At 44.4% G+C, this 26,597-nt stretch overlaps 1 protein-coding gene across 1 annotated transcript, besides 3 other annotated features; it reads right to left on the bottom strand.

The window, feature by feature from the left end:
- Nucleotides 1–1,149: 1,149 nt before the first annotated feature.
- Nucleotides 1,150–26,539, bottom strand: AMDHD1 (amidohydrolase domain containing 1). Its single transcript, NM_152435.3, has 9 exons — nucleotides 26,335–26,539; nucleotides 17,047–17,153; nucleotides 14,895–14,959; nucleotides 12,908–13,185; nucleotides 9,247–9,472; nucleotides 7,391–7,515; nucleotides 4,091–4,184; nucleotides 3,362–3,522; nucleotides 1,150–2,114 (listed from the first exon to the last, which is right to left on the bottom strand). The coding sequence occupies exons 1-9, from the start codon at nucleotides 26,469–26,471 to the stop codon at nucleotides 2,027–2,029; spliced, it is 1,281 nt and encodes a 426-aa protein (NP_689648.2). The 5' UTR covers nucleotides 26,472–26,539; the 3' UTR covers nucleotides 1,150–2,026.
- Nucleotides 3,234–3,718: an enhancer, noted in NCBI's record as "AMDHD1 eExon fragment used in the reporter construct". NCBI's record gives its function as "weakly activates a pGL4.23 vector minimal promoter by reporter assays in HepG2 cells" and the evidence as "EXISTENCE:reporter gene assay evidence [ECO:0000049][PMID:25340400]".
- Nucleotides 12,494–13,006: an enhancer, noted in NCBI's record as "H3K4me1 hESC enhancer chr12:96350642-96351154 (GRCh37/hg19 assembly coordinates)". NCBI's record gives its function as "activates a minimal SCP1, AML or CMV promoter by ChIP-STARR-seq in naive H9 embryonic stem cells {active_cell/tissue: H9 hESC(naive)}" and the evidence as "EXISTENCE:reporter gene assay evidence [ECO:0000049][PMID:30033119]".
- Nucleotides 13,007–13,520: an enhancer, noted in NCBI's record as "H3K4me1 hESC enhancer chr12:96350128-96350641 (GRCh37/hg19 assembly coordinates)". NCBI's record gives its function as "activates a minimal SCP1, AML or CMV promoter by ChIP-STARR-seq in naive H9 embryonic stem cells {active_cell/tissue: H9 hESC(naive)}" and the evidence as "EXISTENCE:reporter gene assay evidence [ECO:0000049][PMID:30033119]".
- Nucleotides 26,540–26,597: the final 58 nt, after the last annotated feature.

Below are 26,597 nucleotides of genomic sequence, written 5' to 3'. Positions count from 1 at the left end.
ACGGGAGGCTGAGGCAGGAGAATGGCGTGAACCCGGGAGGCGGAGCTTGCAGTGAGTCGAGATTGCGCCACTGCACTCCAGCCTGGGCGACAGAGCGAAACTCCGTCTCAGAAAAAAAAAAAAAAAAAGACTCTCCACGTCCTCACCAGAGCAGCTAGATACAGAGTGTTGATTGGTGCACTCACAAACCTTGAGCTAAACACAGGGTGCTGATTGGTGTATTTACAATCCCTGAGCTAGATATAAAGACTCTCCAAGTCCCCACCAGACTCAGGAGCCCAGCTGGCTTCACCTAGTGGATCCCGCACCGGGGCTGCAGGTGGAGCTGCCTGCCAGTCCTGCGCCATGGGCTCGCATTCCTCAGCCCTTGGGTGGTCGATGGGACTGGGCGCCGTGGAGCAGGGGTGATGCTCGTCAGGGAGGCTCGGGCCGCACAGGAGCCCATGGAGTGGGTGGGAGGCTCAGGCATGGCGGGCTGCAGGTCCCGAGCCCTGCCCCGTGGGAAGGCAGCTAAGGCCCGGCGAGAAATCGAGCACAGCGCTGGTGGGCCAGCACTGCTGGGGGACTCAGTACACCCTCCGCAGCCACTGGCCCGCGTGCTAAGTCCCTCACTGCCCGGGGCCAGCAGGGCTGGCCGGCTGCTCCGAGTGCGGGGCCTGCTAAGCCCACGCCCACCCGGAACTCCAGGTGGCCCGCAAGCGCCGCACGCAGCCCCTGTTCCCGCTCACGCCTCTCCCTCCACACCTCACTGCAAGCTGAAGGAGTGGGCTCCAGCCTTGGCCAGCCCAGAAAAGGGCTCCCACAGTGCAGTAGGGGGGCTGAAGGGCTCCTCAAATGCCACCAAAGTGGGAGCCCAGGCAGAGGAGATGCCGAGAGCAAGCGAGGGCTCTGAGGACTGCCAGCATGCTGTCACCTCTCATGATGACAACAATGTGCAATGTTACCCTTAACCTTCCAGTGAGGGGCATTTTGAGTTGCTTTATATTGACTACAGCAAAGCCTCATTCATTCAGGCTCTATTAAACTGAAATTAGTGATCACTTGGAGAGTTAATCTTTACTTCTCAAATCATTTCTTACCAAGTTTGGTAATGCAGTTGTGATTATAAAGATGATCGAAACACTTAAAAAGATTTCAAATCAACTTACATGGCTTTTAAAAACACCCATTTATATGTAAATAATTATCGACTCTTTACAAATAATTTTGTAATTTCCTAAAAACTCTAATAGACAACGCTGCTGATCTACTTCCAGGCTGAAAGGAAACAACAACAATAAGAGCGACAGCAAACATTTATTGAGAGCTGTAAAATGTGTTTCACCCAATTGTAATGTAAAGAATCGAAAATTTTAAAAAATTTCCAAAAAAATTACATGATTGTAGTTGGTAAAAATGCACCCATTTCAGGAAGGCCCCTGTGCCTGTGTATAAATGATGTGTCTTGAACGCTGCTGGGAAGCTCTATTGCTGAGATTGAGAAGACCTTAGAAACGGAAGGACACTCTTCATCAGAGGACATTAATTCATTTGACAAGCATCTAGAAAATGAACTACTTGGGGAAAGGAAATACTATTTGCTTAACAGAAGGCTATATTTTAGCTTCATTGGGGCGTATCACTTAGATTTCTTTCGATCCCTCAATGTTCACTAAATATAGTTTAAAAACTGAGATGTGAAATACAGACACAAAATGGAAATTTTAAGCCAAGCCTACTTTTCCCCACAAAGGCATTTTTGTGATACCCCACCATATTAATCTACAGAATATTTGTAACCAATATTTGTGAACTAATTGGATGTTTTGTGATTTTAATCACAATAGGTTTACCTGTTTATATGTCAAATGCATGTGTTAAATGAAAATAAATCTATCCCTTGGGTTTTTTGAGTGACTTAAAAAGACATTGAAGTACATTTAGGTTTAAGTGATATAATTCTTGTAAATATTAAGGTGTTTTAACTTTTAATATAACTATATTGACTTATTTCATATAGTCAAAAAGTCTTCTCTTTTCAAATCTATCATGTTTTATAGATGAGTTTTCCTTTAGCTATAACATATTCAATTAATTCATGATGGCCTCCGAACTGGTAAATCAAATGCTCCCATCTAGAAAAAAAAAAAAAAACAACAAATATTACTTCAATGTGTGCAAGTAAAAATTATTACTTTATCAATAAATGCTAATTTTAAAATGCATTCCCTACACATTTATTTACACCCAGTCAATGGTATTTGGGCTTTCTAAAAAACCGTATATAACTAACTGGTCTATGGTAAATCAAACATTGTTTAATAATATCATTTAAGTACTTGATCTTAAAATATTTGCTTCATTAAATGATACATAAATGTCACCATCAGCATTATATCCAATACAGGGAGTGGTTTCTGATCATGGAGAGAATTTTAAAGCAGGTGTCTCTGGAGGACTTGAGGTCCAAGGGCTGCAATGGGCTCGTAAGAGTCAAGTAGCCATAGGATTTACAACTTGTAGGTCTAGAACAGTAAAACCCTGATATGGTTTGCTGCTATGTGCCCACCCAAATCTCATTTTGAATTGTAGCTTCCATAATTCCCACATTGTGGGAGGGACCCAGTGGGAGGTAATTGAATCATGGGAGTGGGTCTTTCCCATGCTGTTCTCATGATAGTGAATAAATCTCACAAGATTTGATGTTTTTATGAATGGGAGTTCCCCTGCACACGCTCTCTTGACTGCTGCCATTTAAGACATGACATTGCTCCTCCTTTGCTTTCCGCCATGATTGTGAGGCCTCCCCAGCCATGTAGAACTGTGAGTCGATTAAACCTCTTTCCTTTATAAATTACCCAGTCTCGGTATGTCTTTATTAGCAGTGTGATAACAGACTAATATTACACTGGAGGCCCAGGTGGCAACAGACTATGGGTGGGTGAGTGATAAGTCACCAGGAACAAGAAAACTAAGTTTAAGCTTTTGGGAGCCAGTCGGCATGAGAAATCAGAGAGGGAATGAATCAGAACCAAAGTGAGAAGCCAGAGTTGGGAGCAAGTTGAAAATCAGAAGCCGAGCAGAAAAACACAAACACATGCCAGAGGGCACAACCCGGCCAAAGTCCAGGTAAACAGAGCAGAAATCTGGAAATCTACGAAAAATACCAGACAGATGAAGAGATCTTGAAAACTTGGTCTACCCTGTTGTTTAGGGTCTGTCAGTAGATTTGCTCTTTGGAAAGGGATCAAGATAGAGGGGACTGGATAGTGTCTGAGTCCAGACAGAGTCTGACACTAATAATTAGTGGAAAAGGGATTTAGGCCTCATCTGCATACTTCAGTGGGCATAATATAAAAGAGCTAAGTTGAAGCACACTCACCGGGATGAATTGATGATAATGAGATCTCCCTGTTTGCCAACTTCCAACGATCCGTGTGTGTGAGACTTTCCCAGTGCATAAGCTGCATTGATGGTGGCAGCGGCCAAGGCCTCAGGCATGGACATTCTCATGTTTACACAGGCCAGATGCATGACCATTGGCTAAGGCAGGAAGAGAAAAGTGTTGGAGGAAAGTGACATATGGCAACTGCAATTTAAAACATTTCTCAACACAGCACAACAAATAGAGGCAGTTAAAGGTATAGGAGGAATTGGCTCAGTTGCAATGGGAAAAATCTAAGTTTATACATAAAGATTCTTAGACTTTGGAAAAGATTACTTTATTATAGGGATTGCGTATTTAATATTTATTGACAACTTTTCAAGACCACTTACTGCACACAATGAAGTTCACTTCCATACTTACTAAGACCTCTTGGAGTTTATGCTATTCTCTGGAGAAAGGAAATGGGTTACTGTAAAACTACAATACTCAAAGCTGAATCAGAAAATAATGCATGTAGAAGCTTCTCTCCTCTCTCTATGCCTGCAGGCATTTATGTGGGACAGAAAAATCCAATTACACTGCTGTCTACCCCTTTTTTTCTTGTTTCACAGAAAAATATTTTTAGATTTTTTATACTGTTTTAAAAGCTAGTGAAATATTTTTAAATTATTTATATGCTTGGTAGATACTCTGCTCAGAAAGGTACATGAAAAAAATAATTACCATTGAAAAGCAATATGCATTGGGGTTGAAATCACTTCCCAGAGCAACTATTACTCCTTCATCTAACATCTTCCTGGCTCGAGGTTGTTTCAGTCTAAGGGGAGGAAAAAAATATGTCAGTCTCTAGAATGGGAGCTTTTGTAGAATAGCTGTTCAGAACAGAAGAGAACTTGAGACAGTCAACGCCTTCATATTCTGGAAGAAGAAGCAGAAACTCAAGATTAAATGATTAGTGGTAGAGTTACATATATAATCCAAGGACTCCTGATTTTTATCATTCTGCTTTTGCAGTTACTTAGATATGACTAACATTTAATTAATGATTGTTTATCTCATCCATCTTTTTACATATTAAGGCATTCTTGCAAAGGGAGGAAAATATAACTTACAAATGGTTTTGGAATTTAATAAGCTTTTTGGTGACTCCCAAATTAAATAATAAATGAGGTTACACTATGCTTTTTTTTTTTTTTTTTTTTTTGAGATGGAATCTCTGTCTCTTGCCCAGGCTGGAGTGCAGTGGCACGATCTCGGCTCACTCCAACTTCTACCTTCTGGGTTCAAGCGATTCTCCTGCCTCAGCCTCCCGAGTAGTTGGGACTACAGGCACCCACCACCACGCCCAGGTAATTTTTATATTTTTAGTAGAGATGGGGTTTCACCATGGTGGCCAGGCTGGTCTCAAACTCCTGACCTCAGGTGATCCACCCACCTTGGCCTCCCAAAGTGCTGGGATTACAGGCATGAGCCACTGTGCCCAGCCACAATATGCTATTTTTATTAGTTTCCATTTTGCAATTTCCTATTCACATCTCTCCCTTTGCCCTCTTTTTTTTTTTTTTTTTTTTTTTGCCTCAAACATCTCTGTAGGTCCTTTAAAATCTTGAAGGCCCAAGAATTTAGTGTGTAAAATGTTTATACTTCTTCCTGGATTAGGCATCCCCTTGACCTCCCTGGTGAAATATTCTTTATTCTTTAAGACATATCTCAAAAGTGTTACATCAAAAATAAACAAAGCCTAAAAGCTCGTTAAAGCAATGAGGACAGATTTAATTTGGGAATAACAGCTGCAATAGAGAAAGAGTCCAGCAGAGATAATTCTCATCCTAGAGTCACTCCCAGTCTATGATCGATCATTTGTAGGACCACTTAAAATGTTTTTCAACAACGTATGAGAGGAGGTGAGTGAAGCAGAGACAGAGAGTGAGGAAAGGGTACAGCTTCAAATGTCCCTGCAAGTCATTTGAATGGCCCTCCCCCCCTTCCATAAATACTTAGGGGTAAAAGAGGAAAAAGTGAGGCTGTAAAAGTATTAGGGCACTCCATAAAAACCAAGGTGAATATTTCCTGAATACATTTAAATATTACATGCAAATTTACATAAAATACATGATTAAAGCAAGCCCTTAAGTAGCATAAGGCAATGGTTATTCTGGAAATGAGAGTCAAGAGAGGGTTCAGGGGAGAGCAGGGGGCCCTGCTGGTCTCTCCTGATGCAGAGATCAGAAAAATATAGAAACGAGAAGCCAGAAAGCAGAGTGTGGCCTTCACTTCGACTGCCCCTGTGGTCCTAATAGGAGGCTAAACCTGTCTGTGGCAATGGCAGATGACAGCCTCCGCTGGTATAGGAACAAAGTTCAGACTTTTAATGCTGAATTGCCCTCCAGTACCACAAAGTCTTAGGCTTTTGCTCCATGTCAAGAGATTCAAGACTAGTTAAAGAAAGGCCTTTTTTTTTTTTTTTTTTAAGATGGAATCTCACTCACTCTGTTGCCCAGGCTGAAGTGCAGAGGTATGATCTTGGCTCCCTGCAACCTCTCCCTCCTGGGTTCAAGGGATTCTCCTGCCTCAGCCTCCCGAGTAGTTGGGACTACAGGCGCGCGCCACCATGCCCAGCTAAATTTGTATTTTAATAGAGACGGAGTTCAACCATGTTGGCCAGTCTGGTCTTGAACTCTTGGCCTCAAGTGATCTGCCCACCTCGGCTTCCCAAAAGTACTGGGATTACAGGCGTGAGCCACTGTGCCCAGCCGAAGAAAGCCTTTTCTTTCCAAAAAAATAAAAAACAAAAAACTTATTTCTTGGGTGGTGGAGACAAATATTGATTGATGACTTAGACTGATGACACTTGAAATGTATAAGACGTTGGTCATACCAAGAACCGTTATTGATATTTCCTGATTATAGTCTACATTGTGTTTACTCTTTAAGAGAATAGTAATAATAATAAAAATGTATAATATCATACATGTGCATATAAAATCATAGTAGATTTGAGAAAAGCACTGAAGTATTCCTTTCTTCGCCCTTCTAAAAGTTACTTGGAGCCTGGTCTTACCTAACCTCAGTACAATTCATGTCTTGGGCTGGATAATTCTTTGTTTTGGGAGCTGTTCTGTGCAATGAGGACTGTTTAGCAGCAACCCTGGCCTCTACCCACTAGATGCCAGTAGCATCCCCTAGTTGTGACAACTAGAAATGTCTCGAGACATTGCCAAATGTCCCCTGAGGGACAAAATTACCCTGGGGTTGAGAACCACTGTCTTAACTGCAGAATCACTCCCCATGAAAAAGACCACATGTCCTAGCTACACAGAAAGCACCTAGTCCTAAGAGAAGATAAACTTCCTCTTGACTGCTGGCCTCCCAGACCACAATCTTGGATATCATATAAGTAAGTGGTACAATGGGAAGTGTCAGAAGACCTCAGATCTCATATTGGTTAGAATCAGAGCAACAGTAATAACAGACGAACTAAGTATATTCAATTCATAGACAGCATACAGCAAAATATCTGGGGAGATTTTATAAAATATATGTCTCCTCTTTCCTCCCACCCCCAGGATTTATAAAGATTTATGGCAATTATGGTACCCACTAACATCCCTTTAGAAAACAGCTCATGCAGATTCTGAATACTGCTAAATATCTTTAACATCTTATGCATATATTTAAAAGTATAGCACCTATTTCATTATTTACTAATTATAAAAGTAATGCATAGTAATTCTTTTTAATTGAAAAATTCCAAAATCCATGAAAAAAAAGAAAAAGAAAAAGAAAGCACCATCTTCCTCAATAATCCTGCCACTCAAAGGCAATCTGGGTCTAAGTTCCTTCCTCAGAGAAATTCGTTTACGAACATCAGTCCAGGGTTGGCATCTTCATTAGCTGAGTTTTCTTCATCTGCATTTTTAAGGGATTTGTAAGGGCAATGAAATAATGTCTGGGCACTTTGGACGTCTGTGTCTTCACAGCTTGTACTTGCAGCTCTTGGTCTGGGGTGAGAAACGACCTTACCTCAGCATGTAGGCTGTGGTGGGCAGAAGGATGGCAGAGCACCTGGCCGTTGCCATGGCAACGATGCCTTCATCACTCACTTCTTCCAGGTGGCTGATTGCCTGCGCTCCCAGTTCAGCCCCAAGCTAAGGAGAATGGGCAGAGAGGGAAAGATTTAACAAATAGCAACAACGAATCCATGAAGTTCCATTAAATTGCTTTGTTTGTTTTATTTTTGAGACGGAGTCTTGCTCTGTAGCCAGGCTGGGTGCAGTAGTGCAATCTCAGCTCACTGCAACCTCCGCCTCCTGGGTTCAAGCAATTCTCCCACCTCAGCCTCCCGAGCAGCTAGGGCCACAGGCGTGTGCCACCATGCCCAGCTAACTTTTGTATTTTTAGTAGAGATGGGGTTTCACCATGTTGGCCAGGATAGTCTGGATCTCTTGACCTCGTGATCCGCCTGCCTCGGACTCCAAAAGTGCTAGGATTACAGGCGTGAGCCACCGAGCATGGCCTAAATTGTTTTTCCCATAAAGAGAAACAGCGTTTTATTATTAAGATTTCTTGCCAACCAACCGTTGTAAGCCCAATCCCCCAAATGGGTAAAGGGTTTGTAATGGGCACTCATTTGAAAATTAGCTAGTGGGCTACTTCAAAAACTATTCTTAAACACAAATCCTTCAGACATTTTCTGAAACAGAAAACTTTATGAATCTTATGGATCAGAGGTGAGATAAGGGGATCTAGAGCTATTTGGGAGAATTGGGAGGAATTGGTGTTTGCATGAAATGCGGTAGGTGAGGGAGAGGCAGCAGTCAAAATGATATCCAAGATTTTGACTTAAGCGACAGACAGGTGATGGCGTCATTTACTGAAGCAGAAAATGGGACAAGACTTGGAAGAAATACGAAGAGATCAAGCTGGATATAAGCCAGTTAAGAGGCATGCAGGTGGGGTATCTATGTCTGTATTTATGCCCCAAGGGCTTGTTTATTTAGGTCTCAGGCTTTAGAGGAGAGAAGCCTAGACTCATGATTGTAGGGACTTTGTCTTACTGCTGATTTCTCAATGCCTAAAACAGTGCCTGGCACACAGTATTCATTCAAATATTTGTTGAAAGGATGAATAAGTGAATTAATTTGAGCAAAGATATATGGATTTGAAAATCATCTTGTGGCTATTTTTGGTGTGCTCCACTAAAATGATTTGGATGCTGCCACAGAAAGATCTGAAAAGGTACAAGTGAAATTAATATACTGTGCTAGTGTGGCTTTGTGTGCCAAGCAAAATACTTTAGAAATTTAGTAAAAGAGATCACTGAGGTAATTCTTTTTCTTTTCTTTCCTTTTTTTTTTTGAGATGGAGTCTTGCTCTGTCCCCCAGGCTGGAGTGCAGTGGCATGATCTCGGCTCACTGCAACCTGTGCCTCCCAGTTCAAGCAATTCTCCTGCCTCAGCCTCCCGAGTAGCTGGGATTACAGGCGCGTGCCACCACGCTAATTTTTTATATTTTTAGTAGATATGGGGTTTCACCGTGTTAGCCAGGCTGGTCTCAAACTCCTGACCTCGTGATCAACCCACCTCGGCCTCCCAAAGTGCTGGGATTACAGGTGTGAGCTACCGCGCCCAGCCAATTCTTTTGCTATTAATACTAATATCACCAGTGGATGATAATGAAAGTAAATCATCAGCAAAAAAGTAAGTTTTTAATAGAGGTCAGGGTTTTCAAGTCTCAACCAGACCAATCTGTACATTGTTCAAACAAATTTCCCCATTCAATATCTTTTCAGAGGGCTTTGAAGAAACTAATTAAGTTTCCCATAGCATGAATGTGCAAGAATGAATGTTGACGAGGGAAAAACTAAAAGTCAACCACACCTCAGCAGCCTTCATCGGGTGGAGTTCATCCCCATGGAAGTTAATCTGTAACCCTATATCTTTTCCACGTTGAAGAATCCTTCTGGTGGAATCGAGATCAAAGACACCTTTCTCACAAAATACGTCTATATTGTCCACGTGTATTTCCCCATTTCTGCCAAGTTCCTTCAGCTTTGGGAGGTGGTTATTGATGATGTCATCAGCAGCTTCAGTAGCAGTTTTTCCTCTGGGGAAGAAAATGAGATTGCCATGGGCAAATATTAAAAACAAAACACAAAAAGACAGGGTAATCTGGCACTTGAAGAACCTGAGGAGCAGTAGAGGTAAATGACTTCAAGCCTCAGAAAGGTAGAGAAAGACTCAAAGCTACAACTATGGGCTCTTAACTATTGGGCCATGTCTACATAGTGGAGGTATTGACAAGACTTCTGTATGCACTGACCCTATGCACAGAGACTCAAATGGTTTATCCATTCTGGCATACCTGTGTTACCTTTGGGGATGCCAGCAAGGCTACCTGGCTGAAAAGCTTAATTTGGCCAGGCACAGTGACTCATGCCTGTAATCCCAGCACTTTGGGAGGCCGAGATGGGCAGATCACTTGAGGTCAGGAGTTTGAGACCAGCCTGGCCAAAATGGCAAAACCCCGTCTCTACTAAAAGTATCGGGGCATGGTGGCATGCATCTGTAATCCCAGTTACTCAGGAGGCTGAGGCAAGAGAATTGCTTGAGCCAGGGAGGCGGAGGTTGCAGTGAGCCGAGATCGCACCACTGCACTCCAGCCTGGGCGACAGAGCAAGACTCCGCCTCAAAAAAAAAAAAAAAAAAAAAAAGCATAATCTTCCTGTCAAGGACACTCAGAGGGCATCCTGGATACTCCCCCTGATGACCCACCTGTGGTCCCCTTACCTGAGTCCAGCTATCACCCTGCCTTTTTCTTCCTCCACAATGTTTCCTGAAGCACCTGCCTTAGCTTTCTGTCTCACTATCTGGGGGTATGGGGGAGGAGGATAGTAGGAGGCTGTGAAATTCTCTCTAAAATTCTGGTGGAGTTGGGCATGGTACCTCATGCCTATAATCCCAGCAACTGGGGAGGCTGAGGCAAAAGGATTGCTTGAGCCCAGGAGTTTGAGGCTGCAGTGAGCTATGATTGCACCACTGCACTCCAGCATGGGCAGCAGAGCAAGACCCTGTCTCTAAAAAAAAATTAACAATAAGAAGAGTAGATAAAATAAAGTTCTGCAGTAGTTATATGTTAGAAAAGCCTGGGCTTTTAGAGTCTGGTAGACACAGAGCTCTACCACATGGTGGCCACGTAACTTAGGAGATGCTCTTTAGCTGTTATTTGAGCTCAGGCTTTACCAATGGGAATCCAGATGCAGACCTCAGAGGCTCATTGGCAGATGGAGAAAATTTCTGTGAAACTTCAGCCCTATATTTGGCACACAGAAGGCTCTCACTCAGCAAAACCATTTGGGTAGGTGGGTAGAGGTGGACTATGAGAGACAGGCACTTACGCAAGTTATTTCTTTTTCTTTTTTTCTTTTCTTTTTTTTTTCTTCTTTTTTGAGACAGAGTTTCGCTCTTGTTGCCCAGGCTGGAGTGCAATGGCATGATCTCGGCTCACCGCAACTTCCACCTCCCGGGTTCAAGTGATTCTCTTGCCTCAGCCTCCCAAGTAGCTGGGATTACAGGCATGTGCCACCACGCCCAGCTAATTTTGTATTTTTAGTAGAGACAGGCTTTCTCCATGTTGATCAAGCTGGTCTCAAACTTCTGACCTCAGGTGATCCACCCGCCTCGGCCCCCCAAAGTGCTGGGATTACAGGTATGTGCCACCGTGCCCTGCCTGCGCAAGTTATTGTTAATTCTCAAGACAATCATATAGAATAGGGTGGCATTTAGCTCTGTTTCACAGATGAGTAATTCATGTTCAGAAAAGTTAAGTCATGACCTCAAAATCACCCAGCTGGAAGTAGCCAAGCTGGATTCAAACCCAGGTCTGGCATCACTTCAAACTGAGACTTTTCCACCATGCCACACTATCCTTTCTACTGCAAAAGAAAACAGACTATTATACACTTTATATTCTGTTTGAAAAAAAATCTACTGTTTTCTATAGAGAATGTCTCAAGAGTCTCAGTGAAATTTTGAGCTTTAATAATTTCAGAAATATAAATGCTAAAAACTTACAACAAAGATCACTGGAAATATTAAATATTTATGTCTTTTCTACACAACTAGTTTTGTTAATTTTGAATAATAAATTTTAATGTTACTTTTTTAGTTCCTCTGATTGAAGATAACATGAAGTTAATTTTTATTGATATTAAATATTTATATTTTTCCATTAAAAAGTGACTATAGCTAATAGTAATGTATTGTTTTCCTAAAAATTGTTAAAAAATAGATTTTAAGTGTTCTCACCACAAAAAGTGATAAGTATGTAAAGTAATGCATATATTAATTAGTTCGATTTAGCCATTTCACAAGGTATACATATTTTAAAACAACATGCTCTACATGATAAATATATTATTTGTCAATTAAAAAAATATATATATATTTTTTGAGATAGAGTTTTGCTCTGTCGCCCAGGCTGGAGTACAGTGGCACAATCTCGGCTCACTGCAACCTCCGCCTCCCGGGCTTAAGCGATTCTCGTGCCTCAGCCTCCTGAGTAGCTGGGATTACAGGCATGGGCCACCACGCCTCGCTAATTTTTGTATTTTTAGTAGAGATGGGGTTTCACCATGTTGGCCAGGTTGGTCTCAAACTCCTGAGCTCAAGCGATCCACCTGCCTTGGCCTCCCAAAGTGCTGGGATTACAGGTGTGAGCCACTATGCCTGGCCTAAAAACGGAATTTATATTCCGAAGTTTACAAAATCAGATAAATGTAAAAGAAATTTAAACAATTAAATTTTTAAATAATGATTGTAAGTCTGTAGTATTATATTTATCTATTTAAGTTATCAATGTTTAAGACCACACTAAGACTTTGGAGGCACCTTATGCATGTTCAAGTCCTGGATTTCTTTTAGATAGTTCAGTTGGCTGTTGGAACCATGAGCCTTCCTATTTAGAAATTCCAGGACCAAAAGGAACTCTGGACAAATAAAATGCAAGTACAGAAAGGAACAGAGTTCTCTACAGTAAGGCCATGTAGGAGGAACTTTTAGATAAAGGGGAAGGCTAAAAATCATTTACAACAACAAAACAAAAATGTTTGCTGTTAAGAAAGCAAGCAGATGAACAAAAACGAACCCCTTTGAGTCACCTAGACCACAAGGTTTGAGCTACCTCTTAAAGAGCATTACTATTAACTTCTAAAGTGCTTTTAGAAATGCTAATTAATTATCATGGGAAATTATTCAAATTAATATGTGTAATTTTAAACGACCTACACGGAGCCATTTCTTTGTCTTAACCCAAAGAGCTTGAAACATCTCTTCTATCATAATTAAAGGACTAGCAGACTGATGAGGCTAAGGGATCGCCTTCCTAAAACCGAGTCTGCGGGATGAGTGGCCATTAGAATCAGGTCTTTCCAAAGACTTCTATCCATCTCCCTGCAAGAGCTAAAGTGCTAATGCGCCTCCACCCCCGGGGTTCGTTTTCAATGCTCTGAGTTAAACCCGGGCCCCCACTGGCTGAGATTACTTAGGCACTGAATGAGCCCCGCAGTAGGTAGCCGAGATGCCGATGTCCAGCTCCCGCCGGGCGCGCTCAATCACGCGCAGCATCTTGAGCTCGGTCTCCAGGTCGAGGCCATATCCACTCTTGCACTCCACCAGCGTGGTGCCAGCCCTCATCATGCACTGGAGCCGTTGCTGCAAGGAGCGGAACAGCTCCTCCTCTGTGGCTTGGCGCGTGCGCTCCACGGTAAAGTGGATCCCTCCTCCGGCCTGGTGAATTTCCATGTAGGTGGCTCCTGCCAACTGAACACACGCCTCACCTTTAGGCCAGCACATGCCAGGAAGTTGCAGGGAGGTCTGAAGAATCTACTTCCAGGGGCAATATTATATAATGATTAAGAAGCCATATGGCATGGGCACCAACCCATCAGATTAGAAAGGTGCTGGGATACACAGTCCTGGAAGCCCCTAGTCTGCCAGACACTGGATTGTGGGGAGCTCCGAAGGGGTCTTGGGAAGAGACTGGAGTGGTAGAGATGGGAGATGTGGTGGGTGGCCTGTTGGGATCTTAGGGCAGTGAGGCCTGGCGCGGTGGCTCACGCCTGTAATCCCAATACTTTGGGAGGCCTAGGTGGGCAGATCACGAGGTCAGGAGTTCAAGAACAGCCTGACCAATATGGTGAAACCCCATCTCTACTAAAAATACAAAAATTAGCGGGGGCATGGTGGCACACGCCTGTAGCCCCAGCTACTCTGGAGGCTGAGACAGGAGAATCACTTGAACCCGGGAGGCGGAGGTTGCAGGGAGCTGAGATCGCACCACTGCACTCCAGCCTGGGTGACAGAGCGAGACTCTATCTCAAAAAACAAACAAACAAACAAAACAAAACAAAACTGGCACAGGAGTATTGCAATATTTTAACAAGTCAATCAACCCGCAATGTGTACTTGCTAAGTATCAGCCCTCCCTCCATCCCTCAGCTTGTTTGAGAAAACAAAGCTTAGGCAATTCAGGAGTTGCAGGGAACCCCATTGCAATTATTCAGATCTCCACTAAAGCGGCCCCAGGAAGTTTCCTTGTCTCAATATTTGGCCATCCGAGTTTGGAGCTTGATCTTTGTCACTCAAAGAGGCTCTTTCTAGGGTCCCACTGGGCTCCAGTTACTCTGGGCAGCAAGGAGTGTGGTGCAGAGAAAGGATGCAGGCCTGGGGTCTCCTGGCCGGAGTTTTCATCTGGGTTCTGCCATCCTCCAGCTGGTGACGCTAGTCAACACTCTTCCCTTCTCTAGACCCAGCTTTCTCCATCTACATAATGAGAGGATTGGACTGTAAATCTCTTTCTCCGTCTATACAATGAGAGGATTGGACTGCTTTTGGCTCTGAAATTCTGTGATTTAATAAAACAATCTTAAAAACAGCTCTAGTTTGTTGAAGCAGGTACATGATAGCTGAAGAAAAGAATTTTTTTTTTCTTTTCCTGAAATAAGCCAGTTTAGCTGCTAGGAGGCACATCTTTTTTTTTCTTTTTTAAAAAACACATGTGAAAATCTCTCCAACCAGGGATTTAGGAGTTGGTTACAGCTAATATAGGACTAACACAGCTTACATTTTGTGATTCTTAATAAGTCTCAGTTTATAACAGAAAAATTAAGGTATTTTATTTTTGTGATTAGTAACATATTTTTCCAAGCTTTACTCCAATGAATGGCAATTTTCAAACTATTCCTTGGAGCCCTTTCAAAAGCTACTAGAGATAGCGATTTGGAATGGGAATGTGGGGAAGGAAAGAGAGGGAGACATTAGTGGGCAGGAATAGCCCTGTGTATAATACAATGATTTGGGGCAGTTATAAATAAGTTTTGTTGTCATTTGTTTCCCATACCCAAGCAAGTAAAAATATCCATTAAAAAATATGTTGACATATGTTGCAAAGCTTGATAGCCTACTAACTCTTCAGCAAAAGACTTCATATTTGTGCTTTATTTTGATTTGCCATGATTTGTTGCAGTTACCTTCATTGCAAATTCGTGAACTCTTTCACCAGCCCATACTGGATGTGTGTGTGCATCCACCAAACCTATAATCAATAAATCAAGTTATCTTACAATTAAGAAATAGAGAGCACTTAGACAGCAGGCAAACAGCAGCACTATACCCTGCTGCTCTGGGGAAAGTGTGATGGTGGCCATCCATTTTGGAGGAGCATGAAAGGAAGAATTTGTCTGTCTGGTTCCCTTGATAGAGAGAAAAGAAGACTGCCCTGTTGTATGGTTGGTCTAGAAAGCTCTAATGAAGGAGGTGATGCAACATGATGAAAATATCCCTTACAGAAATACAGCTCCTTTTGCTCAGTAAGTCCATGCTCACCAAATAAGCTTTTATTTTATTTTATTTTATTTTATTTTATTTTATTTATTTTTGAGAAAGGTTCTCACTCTGTCGCCCAGGCTGGAGTGCAGTGGCACACTCACAGCTCCCTACAGCCTTGACCTCCCAGGCTCAAGCAATCCTCCCACCTCAGCCTCCCTAGTAGCTGGGACTATAGTCATGCACCACCACACAAGCTAAAATTTGCCATGTTGCCCAGGTTGGTCTTGAACTCCTGGGCTTAAACGATCTGCCTGCCTCAGCCTCCAATGATCTGCCTGACTCAGCCTCCCAAAGTGCTGGGATTACAAGCATCAGCCACTACTCCTGGCCCAAATAAGCTTTGAAATTAGGTTGTCAAGCCCCCTAGTTGGCAAAACCATGAACCTTATCACAAGGAATAATCTGGATATGAAAACAATACTACAATCCCCTCCCCCTGCAACTCTGAGAAGGGAAAATGTGAAATCAGAAAGATTAATCTATTTTCAAGAAAGAAATGTATTTTAATTAAGGAGAAACTGTAAAGCAATCACTTGAAACTTTTGTTTATCCAGGTACAATTCAGTAAAGTGTGTCTTTCCAAAATGTTTTAGATACCTTATGGATTAAATGACTCATTATTGGCTCTGATTGGACTAAAATCAAAAGCGCCTACTCAGATTGCTTTCTGCTATATTCCTCTTTTTCATAACATTTCACCCTGACTTTGTCTCCTGACTCTCAAGAATCATAAGGAAGGCCGGGCGTGGTGGCTCATGCCTATAATACCAGCACTTTGGGAGACCGAGATCAGCAGATCGCTTGAGATCAGGAGTTTGAGACCAGCCTGACCAACATGGTGAAACCCTGTTGCTACTAAAAATACAAAAATTAGCCAGGCATGATGGTGCATGCCTGTAATCCAGCTACTTAGGAGACTGAGGCAAAAGAATTGCTTGAACCTGGGAGGTGGAGGTTGCAGTGAGCCAAGATCACACCACTGCCCTCCAGCCTTGGTGACACAGTGAGACTGTCTCAAAATAAACAAACAAATGAAAACCCATCAGTTAGAAGCTCTGTCAGATGTGTACAATAAATATTTAAAAGTATAAAAATTTTATATAAAAAAATATAAATATGAAGCCCTTTTGTTTGTGTAGAACTGAAAGTTTGTGAAACTTGTTTTGGATGATTATATGAAGCCATACAACATAATGTAGGAGATGATGGTTAATAAACTGATTCTGTTGTCAATCATCAAAGATACAAGTGAACTGCAGTGAAAGCTCTAGGATTTTTGTTTTTCTTTTTCTGCCCAGAGCTGGATCCTTTGTTTCACATCCTATACAAATTTAGAGTATTTCTAGTATTAGAGACAGCAGCTGCCTTGTTAGCCTCTCCTATGCCATGGATTAATAAAGTTCTTTTGACTGTTTTTGAACCTAAACACAACACAGCTGGTTTCTATTCAGCATGTGAGTGGGAAGAAGTGGAGTCGAATGAATGGGCTTGATTCCTAGGTTGTCTGTTTCCTGTTTAGGAACCTTGGGTAACATATTTCACCCTTAGCTTCAATTTTCTAATCTGTAAAGTATAGATAATGATACCTCCCACACAGGGCAGTTATAAGGATTCAAGGTGAAACCATGTTTGAAAGCAGCTATACATTCAATAATAGAAATTCAATACATGGAACGATGATTTTTTTTAAATATTATTTTGAGACTTTAAAATAAGCTGTTACTCTTCCTCTTTACATTTCAGGAGCAACTGTTAAAGCTACTTGTAGACCTTTACTGAAAAAGAGGTAAATACCTGGTAGAATACATTTCCCAGAGCAGTCAATTATTTCTTCAAAAGTTTCTCCAGAAAACTGTCTTTGAATAACATCAGCAGGACCAATAGCTTTTATAAATCCATCTCTGAAGAAAAATCAAGAAATAGTTATTAAATTTGGGGAAATCTTGTGAGAAATCTGATGAGTGACTTAAAATATGTTTTCAGATTCTTTGGTGTTAATTAGTCAACATTTACTGTGCTTCTATCTTGAACCTGAGTCTGGAAAAGCGTCTCTAGCCACATTCGAGGCAACCATAAAAGACCCAGATTAGCCAAAGCCTCCTCAGCAAAATGAACAAAACTGGAGGAATCACATTACCTGACTTCAAATTATACTACAGAACTATAGTAACCAAAAGAGCATGGTACTGGCATAAAAAACAGACACATAGACCAGTGGAACAGAATAGTGAACCCAGAAATAAGTCCATACATCTACAGTGAACTCATTTTCAGCAAAGATGCCAAGAACGTACATTGGGGAAAAGACAGTCTCTTCAATAAATGGTGCTAGGGAAACTGGCTATCCATATGCAAAAGAATGAAATCAAATCTAAATGGGTTAAAGACTGAAATCTAAGAACTTAAACTATGAAACTACTCAAAGAAGACCTTGGGAAAACTCTCTAGGACATTGGTTCAGGCAACAATTTCTTGAGGGATACCCCACAAGAACAGGCAACCAAGCCAAAAATGGACAAATGGGATCACTTCAAGGTAAAAGCCTTCTGTACAGCAAAGAAAATAATCAACAATGTGAAGAAACAACCCACAGAATGGGAGAAAATAATTTGCACACTATCTAATTGACAAGGGATTAAAAACCAGAATATATAAGGAGCTCAAACAGCTCAATAGGAAAAAACCTAATAATCTGATTAAGAAATGGACAAAAGATCTGAATAGACATTTTTCAAAAGAAGAGATACAAATGGCAAACAGGTATATGAAAAGGTGCTCAACATCAATGATCTTCAGAGAAATGCAAACAAAACCACAATGAGAGATCATCTTACCCCAGTTAAAATGGCTTTTATCCAAAAGACAGGCAATAAAAAATGCTGGCAAGAATGTGGAGAAAGAGGAACCCTTGTACACTGTTAGAAATGTAAATCAGTACAGCCACTATGGAGAGTATGAAAGTTCCTCAAAAACTAAAAATAGAGCTACCATATGATCCAGCAATCCCACTGGTAGATCTATATGCAAAAGAAAGGAAGTCAGTATATTAAAGAGATGTCTGCATCCCATGTTAATTGCAGCACTATTCACAATAGCCAAGATTTGGAAGTACACTAAGTGCCCACCCACAAATGAATGGATAAAGAAAATGTAATACATACACACAATGGAGTACTATTCAGCCATAAAAAAGAGTGAGATTCTGTCAATTGCAACAACATGGATAGAACTGGAGGACATTATGTTAAGTGAAATAAGCCAGGCACAGAAAGACAAACTTGGCATATTCTCATTCATTTGTGGGAGCTAAAAATGAAAACAATTGAGCTCATGGAGATAGAGAGTAAAATGATGGTTACCAGAGGCTGGGAAGAATAGAAGGGGAGAGGAGAAAAATGGGGATTGTTAATGGCTAGAAAAATATGGTTAGATACAGTGAATAAGACCCAGTATTTGATATCACAACAGGGTGACTACAATCAGCAATAATATGTTGCACATTTTAGAATAACTGAGGGAGTACGATTGGAATGTTTGTAACACCAGGAAATGATGAATGCTTGAGATGATGGAAACCCCATTTACCCTGATATAATTATTACACATTGTACGACTGTTTAAAATAACTCATGTACCCCATATATATGTACCCATGAAAATTTACAATTAAAAAAACTTTAAACGTCAAATATATGTAGCAGACAATTGCCATTTGTTCCCCAAGATCAATGTTCCCTTTTTTACACTAGTAGAGCCCTAAATTTTAGCTGGACACATGATGACCCAAAATACAGACTACATTTCCCCACCTCCCACTAGCCAGGTGTGGCTATGAGACTAAGGTCTAGCCGGTAAGATTGTCTTCTCTTCCTATTCTTACTGGCTGGAATGCAGACACCACAACTAGAGATGGGGTGGCCATCTTGGGTCATGGAGTGAGTGTAAGAAAGTGGGCCATGCATGGGAGAGCAAGGCAGCAGGGGCCTGGCTCCTAAGGACCCCATGGAGTATTGCAATCAACTAGCCCTGCATTCGTATGTCTGGATTTTCACATAGGAGAGAAATATACTTCCATCTTGTTTCAGCCACTATTAATTTAGGTCTTGGTCACTTACAACAAATTCGTATTTCCAACATGGAGATTGAGGGCTATAAACCTGAGAGCTGGAATGTGTTGTGAAAAGCAATTAGGATAAGGGATTCCGAACTGGGACAGAAGTGGTTGGGGTAACCTAACAAAATGTAAGAGTGGAAGAGCAGAAGAAACTGGATGGAAAGAGAAGATGTTATGATAGGAAAAGAAATAATGATTGTGGGAGATTTGGGGAGGATAAACTTAGGGTGGAATAAGAAATTAAGTCTTGAAATAGAATTTAGTATCCTGATTAAGACAATTCTTCATCACTAACAGCTTTTATCTGGCCCAGTTAGATAATCTACCCAGTGTGCAGTGAATCTGGTGGTGGAAAGGACCGGCAGGATTAGAAATTGACCCTTGAATGGGAAAGAACAAAGAGAATGCTCTTATGCAAAGAGTTAATGACTGACACTGCTTTAAGAGAGGTTGTTTTAACAAAGTCAAACCTAAGAAATAAATCTCTAACATTCTCCGTCTGTGCAGGAGGTGAATTTTGAGGGCACTGGGTCCTCTTCCTGACCCCACTAATCCCATGCTTATCTACCTTTCAACAGTGTGGTTCTCTCATTCATCTGTGGATGTACCTATGTTTGAACAAAGGCTTATGTTCCTTTGTTGAGGACATAATGAGGGCAGTTATTGAAGGAAACCAACAAAAAGCATTCCCCCAAAAGTGTTTTTTTAAGGTAGTCATTAAAATTACAAAGATACATATTACTGCTATGGTGAGATTTTCACTATTTATGACTAAGTGAAAAAACCCGAATACAAAACAATATGCATAGCTTCCTTTTCTAAAGCATGCATTTTTATGTGATTCTATTTGCATAGGAAAACATCTGAAAGCAGAAGCACTAAATGTTGGTATTAGTTCACCTAATGATGGGGTTTGAGTGACTTTTTCCTTTTTGTTCATCTGTATTTTCTTTTCCTACAATGAACGTATATCACATATACTTTTTTAGGGGATACAAATAATAGGCACATGTGGTTTTATTTACTTTGTATTCTGAGAAATTTAGGAAGAAAAATTCTGCAGAGTCTTCTGAAAGTAAAGCAAATTAGCAAGCAAGACCCTACTTTAGGAGCTAAAGTATAATTATAATGAAAACAGTAATGATGATGATTTAAGGAGGATGATGCTTCTTTGAGTGGCTCTCAGGGTGCTTTGTGAAAATTTAGAATTGGCACATACACTGTCTCAGTTTCTAAAACCTAAAAATTGGTCTTGTTTTATAGTAGATAAATCTGACACCTCTCCCGATCCTCCCATTGGTTCAGGCACCCCTCTGTGCAGTCTCTTTTTTTTTTTTTTTTTTCTTTTTTTTTTTTTTTTTTTAATTTATTTTTTTATTGATAATTCTTGGGTGTTTCTCACAGAGGGGGATTTGGCAGGGTCATGGGACAATAGTGGAGGGAAGGTCAGCAGATAAACAAGTGAACAAAGGTCTCTGGTTTTCCTAGGCAGAGGACCCTGCGGCCTTCCGCAGTGTTTGTGTCCCTGATTACTTGAGATTAGGGATTGGTGATGACTCTTAACGAGCATGCTGCCTTCAAGCATCTGTTTAACAAAGCACATCTTGCACCGCCCTTAATCCATTTAACCCTGAGTGGACACAGCACATGTTTCAGAGAGCACAGGGTTGGGGGTAAGGTCACAGATCAACAGGATCCCAAGACAGAGGAATTTTTCTTAGTGCAGAACAAAATGAAAAGTCTCCCATGTCTACTTCTTTCCACACAGACACGGCAACCATCCGATTTCTCAATCTTTTCCCCGCCTTTCCCGCCTTTCTATTCCACAAAGCCGCCATTGTCATCCTGGCCCGTTCTCAATGAGCTGTTGGGCACACCTCCCAGACGGGGTGGTGGCTGGGCAGAGGCGCCCCTCACCTCCCGGACGGGTCGGCTGGCTGGGCGGTGGGGGCTGACCCCCCCCCCACCTCCCTCCCGGACGGGGCAGCTGGCCGGGCGGGGGGCTGACACCCCCACCTCCCTCCCGGACGGGGCGGCTGGCCGGGCAGAGGGGCTCCTCACTTCCCAGTAGGGGCGGCCGGGCAGAGGCGCCCCTCACCTCCCGGACGGGGCCACTGGCCGGGCAGGGGGGCTGACCCCCCCCCACCTCCCTCCCAGACGGGGCGGCTGGCCGGGTGGGGGGCTGACCCCCCCACCTCCCTCCCGGACGAGGCGGCTGGCCGGGCGTGGGGCTGACACCCCCACCTCCCTCCTGGACAGGGCGGCTGGCCGGGCGGGGGGCTGACCCCCCCACCTCCCTCCCGGATGGGGCGGCTGGCCGGGCGGGGGGCCGACCCCCCCACCTCCCTCCCGGACGGGGCGGCTGGCCGGGCAGAGGGGCTCCTCACTTCCCAGTAGGGGCGGCCGGGCAGAGGCGCCCCTCAACTCCCAGACGGGGCGGCTGGCCGGGCGGAGGGCTGACCCCCCCACCTCCCTCCCGGACAGGGCGGCTGGCCGGGCGGGGGGCTGACCCCCCCACCTCCCTCCCGGACAGGGCGGCTGGCCGGGCGGGGGGCTGACCCCCCCACCTCCCTCCCGGATGGGGCGGCTGGCCGGGCAGAGGGGCTCCTCACTTCCCAGTAGGGGCGGCCGGGCAGAGGCGCCCCTCACCTCCCAGACGGGGCGGCTGGCCGGGCGGGGCGCTGACCCCCCCACCTCCCTCCCGGACGGGGCGGCTGGCCAGGCGGGGGGCTGACCCCCCCACCTCCCTCCCGGACGGGGCGGCTGGCCGGGTGGGGGGGCTGACCCCCCCATCTCCCTCCCGGACGGGGTGGCTGGCCGGGCAGAGGCGCCCCTCACCTCCCGGACGGGGCGGCTGGCCGGGCGGGGGGCTGACCCCCCCACCTCCCTCCTGGACGGCACGGCTGTCCGGGCGGGGGGGCTGACCCCCCACCTCCCTCCCGGATGGGGCGGCTGGCCGGGCAGGGGGCTGACCCCCCCCACCTCCCTCCCGGACGGGGTGGCTGCCGGTCGGAGACGCTCCTCACTTCCCAGATGGGGTGGCTGCCGGGCGGAGAGGCTCCTCACTTCTCAGACGGGGCAGCTGCCGGGCGGAGGGGCTCCTCACTTCTCAGACGGGGTGGTTGCCAGGCAGAGGGTCTCCTCACTTCTCAGACGGGGCGGCCGGGCAGAGACGCTCCTCACCTCCCAGACGGGGTCTCGGCCGGGCAGAGGCGCTCCTCACATCCCAGATGGGGCGGCGGGGCAGAGGCGCTCCCCACATCTCAGACGATGGGCGGCCGGGCAGAGAGGCTCTTCACTTCCTAGATGTGATGGCGGCTGGGAAGAGGCGCTCCTCACTTCCTAGATGGGATGGCGGCCGGGCAGAGACGCTCCTCACTTTCCAGACTGGGCAGCCAGGCAGAGGGGCTCCTCACATCCCAGACGATGGGCGGCCAGGCAGAGACACTCCTCACTTCCCAGACGGGGTGGCGGCCGGGCAGAGGCTGCAATCTCGGCACTTTGGGAGGCCAAGGCAGGCGGCTGGGAGGTGTAGGTTGTAGTGAGCCGAGATCACGCCACTGCACTCCAGCCTGGGCACCATTGAGCACTGAGTGAACGAGACTCCGTCTGCAATCCCGGCACCTCGGGAGGCCGAGGTTGGCGGATCACTCGCGGTTAGGGGCTGGAGACCGGCCCGGCCAACACAGCGAAACCCCGTCTCCACCAAAACCAGTCAGGCGTGGCGGCGCGTGCCTGCAATCACAGGCATTCGGCAGACTGAGGCAGGAGAATCAGGCAGGGAGGTTGCAGTGAGCCGAGATGGCAGCAGTACAGTCCAGCTTCGGCTCCGCATGAGAGGGAGACCGTGGGGAGAGGGAGAGGGAGGGGGAGGGGGAGGGGGAGGGGGAGGGGGAGGGGGAGGGGGAGGGGGAGGGGGAGGGGGAGCAGTCTCTTATAATAAGCCTGCATGCACACATCTCTCTACCTTTGTGCTTACCATATTGTATTATAATTATCTTTTCATGTGTCTTGTTTCCCAGTAGACTTTGAGCTCTTTGAGGTCTGAACCAGTCTTAGTCATTTTTGCATCCTCTACGCTGAGCACAATCTAACTACTCAGCACATATTTGTGAATGAATGAAAATGTCCTATTTTAGGTTCATTGTCCACCTGACAGTTTAATTGGCTTCTAGGAAGGAAAATATAACACCCACCAATTTTTCCTTCAACATTTTCCATTTTTGCCCCTCCTCTGAAGTGCTAAAACAAATGGTCCTTGTGTATGAATCTATATTTTAATTCCTGTTTGTTTTGTTCATTTAGACATTTTCATCTAGGTTTTAGCCTTTGGATGGGACAATTGTCAACTGGATGACAGTTTGTGCTTCTTTTCCACACCTGGGAGCCTCTTCAAGATTAACTGCAATCTACACACACACACACACACACACACACACACAGAGAGAAAGAGAGAGAGAACTTAATTTAAGAATGAGATACCTTTAGAGACCTAAATGAATGAACACAATGGTGGAATTTACACCCTATGGCAGACAATCACTGAGATATTTATTTTTAGGAAGGGGGAGTTTCTGGTGTCCCTCAAACCATATTCTTTTCCAGGACTCATTTTATATATCTATAGCATATAGGGGATTAACTATTAGTTGATCTTACTGAGATTCATTCTAATCAGGACACACCATGGTATGTATATACTTGTTGGGAAAAAAAAAAACACACACTGTTAAAATCCATCCAATTCTGGGCTTTGAAATGGAACTTTCTTCCACTTCTCTGTGCTTTTAATCAGTACCCCTCTCCCTATACACACTCACACTCACAGCCTGTGTTCTTCTTGTCTACCAAAAGAAGAGCAGGATTAAGTTGTCCTTGAACACACAGGTTCTGCATAAGGGAAGTGATGTGAAAATTTAAGACAATCACCTAAATAATTCACCCTGAAAACACTTTTACCTTAAAACATTCAGATAATGAGGTGGGAGATATATTTCAAAGCATCTCAAATAACCAGATAATTATTCCAATTCTATACTTGATTTTTGCACCAACCTAATATATAAGACAGTGATGATAGTAAGTGAAAATAAAAACAACACCATCCTGTACCGAGCTAATCATATTTGAATGGCAAAGTTCTCAATATTCTTGTAAATTTATTTCATTGTAATAAATCCAACAAACTGTGAGAACAATGTAGCAGACTCAAATGAAAAAGCCCCATCTTCCAGACCACAAGTCAGCTCCCTCCTTTTCCTTTCCCTACTTTTTGTGGTTTTGATGTGAACATAGAACATGTCTTGGAACCCAGGACTTCATGTTGGTGCATTAGTATCATTTTATTTATGTATTTATTTATTTATTTTTGAGACAGAGTCTCGCTCTGTCACCCAGGCTGGAGTGCAGTGGCGAGATCTCAGCTCACTGCAACCTCCGCCTCCCGGGTTCAAGCGATTCTCCTGCCTCAGCCTCCCGAGTAGCTGGGATTACAGACGTGCGCCGCCATGCCCGGCTAATGTTTGTATTTTTAGTAGAGATGGGGTTTCATCATGTTGGCCAGGCTGATCTCGAGCTCCCAACCTCAGGTGATCCACCTGCCTCAGCTTCCCAAAGTGCTGGGATTGCAGGCGTGAGTCACTGTGCCTGGTCGCATTGATATAATTTTTATAAGATACTCCAGTCCCAACCCAGGTACATATTTTTCAACTTTCTAAGCAAAATTTTAAATAATATTTTCATAGTAAATTGGGAATGTTTTCATCCCTTAATTAAAAATAAACCAGTCAAGCTGGGCGTGGTGGTTCACGCCTGTAATCTCAGCACTGGGAGGCCAAACCAGGTGGATGGCTTGAGCCCAGGAGTTCAAGACCAGCCTGGGCAACACAGTGAGACATTGTCTCTACAAAAAATACAAAAATTAGCCTGGCGTGGTGGCGTGCACCTGTAGTCCCAGCTGCTTGTCAAGCTGAGGTGGGAGGATGGCTTGAGCCTGGGAGGTGGAGATCGCAGTTGAGCCTGGGAGGTGGAGCCAAGATCATGCCACTGCACTCCAACCTGGGCAACAGAGCTAGACCCTGTCTCAAAAAAACAAAAAATAGGCTGGGCGCAGTGGCTCATGCGTCTCAAAAATAAATAAATAAATAAATAAATAAATAAATAAATAAATAAATAAAATTAAACCAACCCACAGTCCCTTAAAAGCTGGGCTCTTGCACAACCCTAAACTGCCTCAGATAAGCCGTGGTCAGTTTGTGAGACTCATTGATCGTGTGCAATTGTGGTCCCATGGCACGCTTTGGATTCAAATTCTCATCCAACTTCCCTTGCTACCCCAGGTCGCCCTCAAACTTTGTTCTTTTATTCATATCTGGCAGGAAGCTCAGATGAGTAAGAGAAATATCTTGTTTTCTGATGGTCAAATCTTGATTTATTATCACTCAGGGCCATTATCGTCTAAATGTTCTCCGTGGTTCTAAAGCTTTAGTGTACGAGATCACGAGGATGTGAAAGGTACTTTTGAAAAATTCAGGTCTCAGAACTCCAGCCCCAGTGATGCTGATTCTAAAATTCTAGGGATAGGGAGTGGGGGACGCAGGTGGAATCAGAAATCTGCCGTAAGAATAAAATAACCACAGGCCACCCTGACAAAGGTGGTCTTCTGGCCTCCCTTTAAGAAGCACTGGGGAGGACCTCAACCCCTTCTGATGGTTGGACAGTGATATTTTACCAGCAGAGGCAGGACCCTGATGCGTTCCAATGGGGTGTTCCTCTCTGAGCTCTTTGGACGGAATGACAACCCCAAGCAGCAGAGCGTGTTAGCAACAGGTACCCCAAAGGCTGGCTTGCCCGTGTATCTCTGTGCAGGGACGCTTTCACGGCGTTGTTTCCCTCCAGAGTGCACAGTGAGAGGAAGAGCGGCCAGCTCCGCCCGTGGCGGTCCCCACCCTGCGCGCCCGGCCACTTACTTGCCCACCACCAGGCTGGCGCCTTCCAGCACCGCCAGGCTGCGCAGCGCATCCCGCGCCAGGAAGCGCTCGCCGCGGGCGCACACCAGCACCACTTGCTGCGCGTTCTCCAGCAGGAGGCTGTGGCCGCTTGCCATGTCGCCTCGCGCCGAGGGTCGCCGGGAGGCCACCGGGCTCGGGCCACCGGCAGGACTCAGTGGAGGACGAAAAGCCGCAGCCTGCGCTGTCCGGGGCTGGGAGGGTGGGGCGGGGGCGGGCGCTCG

This window comes from Homo sapiens, chromosome 12 (genome assembly GCF_000001405.40).
Source record: "Homo sapiens chromosome 12, GRCh38.p14 Primary Assembly".
Lineage (NCBI taxonomy): Eukaryota > Metazoa > Chordata > Mammalia > Primates > Hominidae > Homo > Homo sapiens.
Note: the sequence above shows the minus strand (reverse complement) of the source record. Positions and strands in the feature narration are given on the sequence as shown.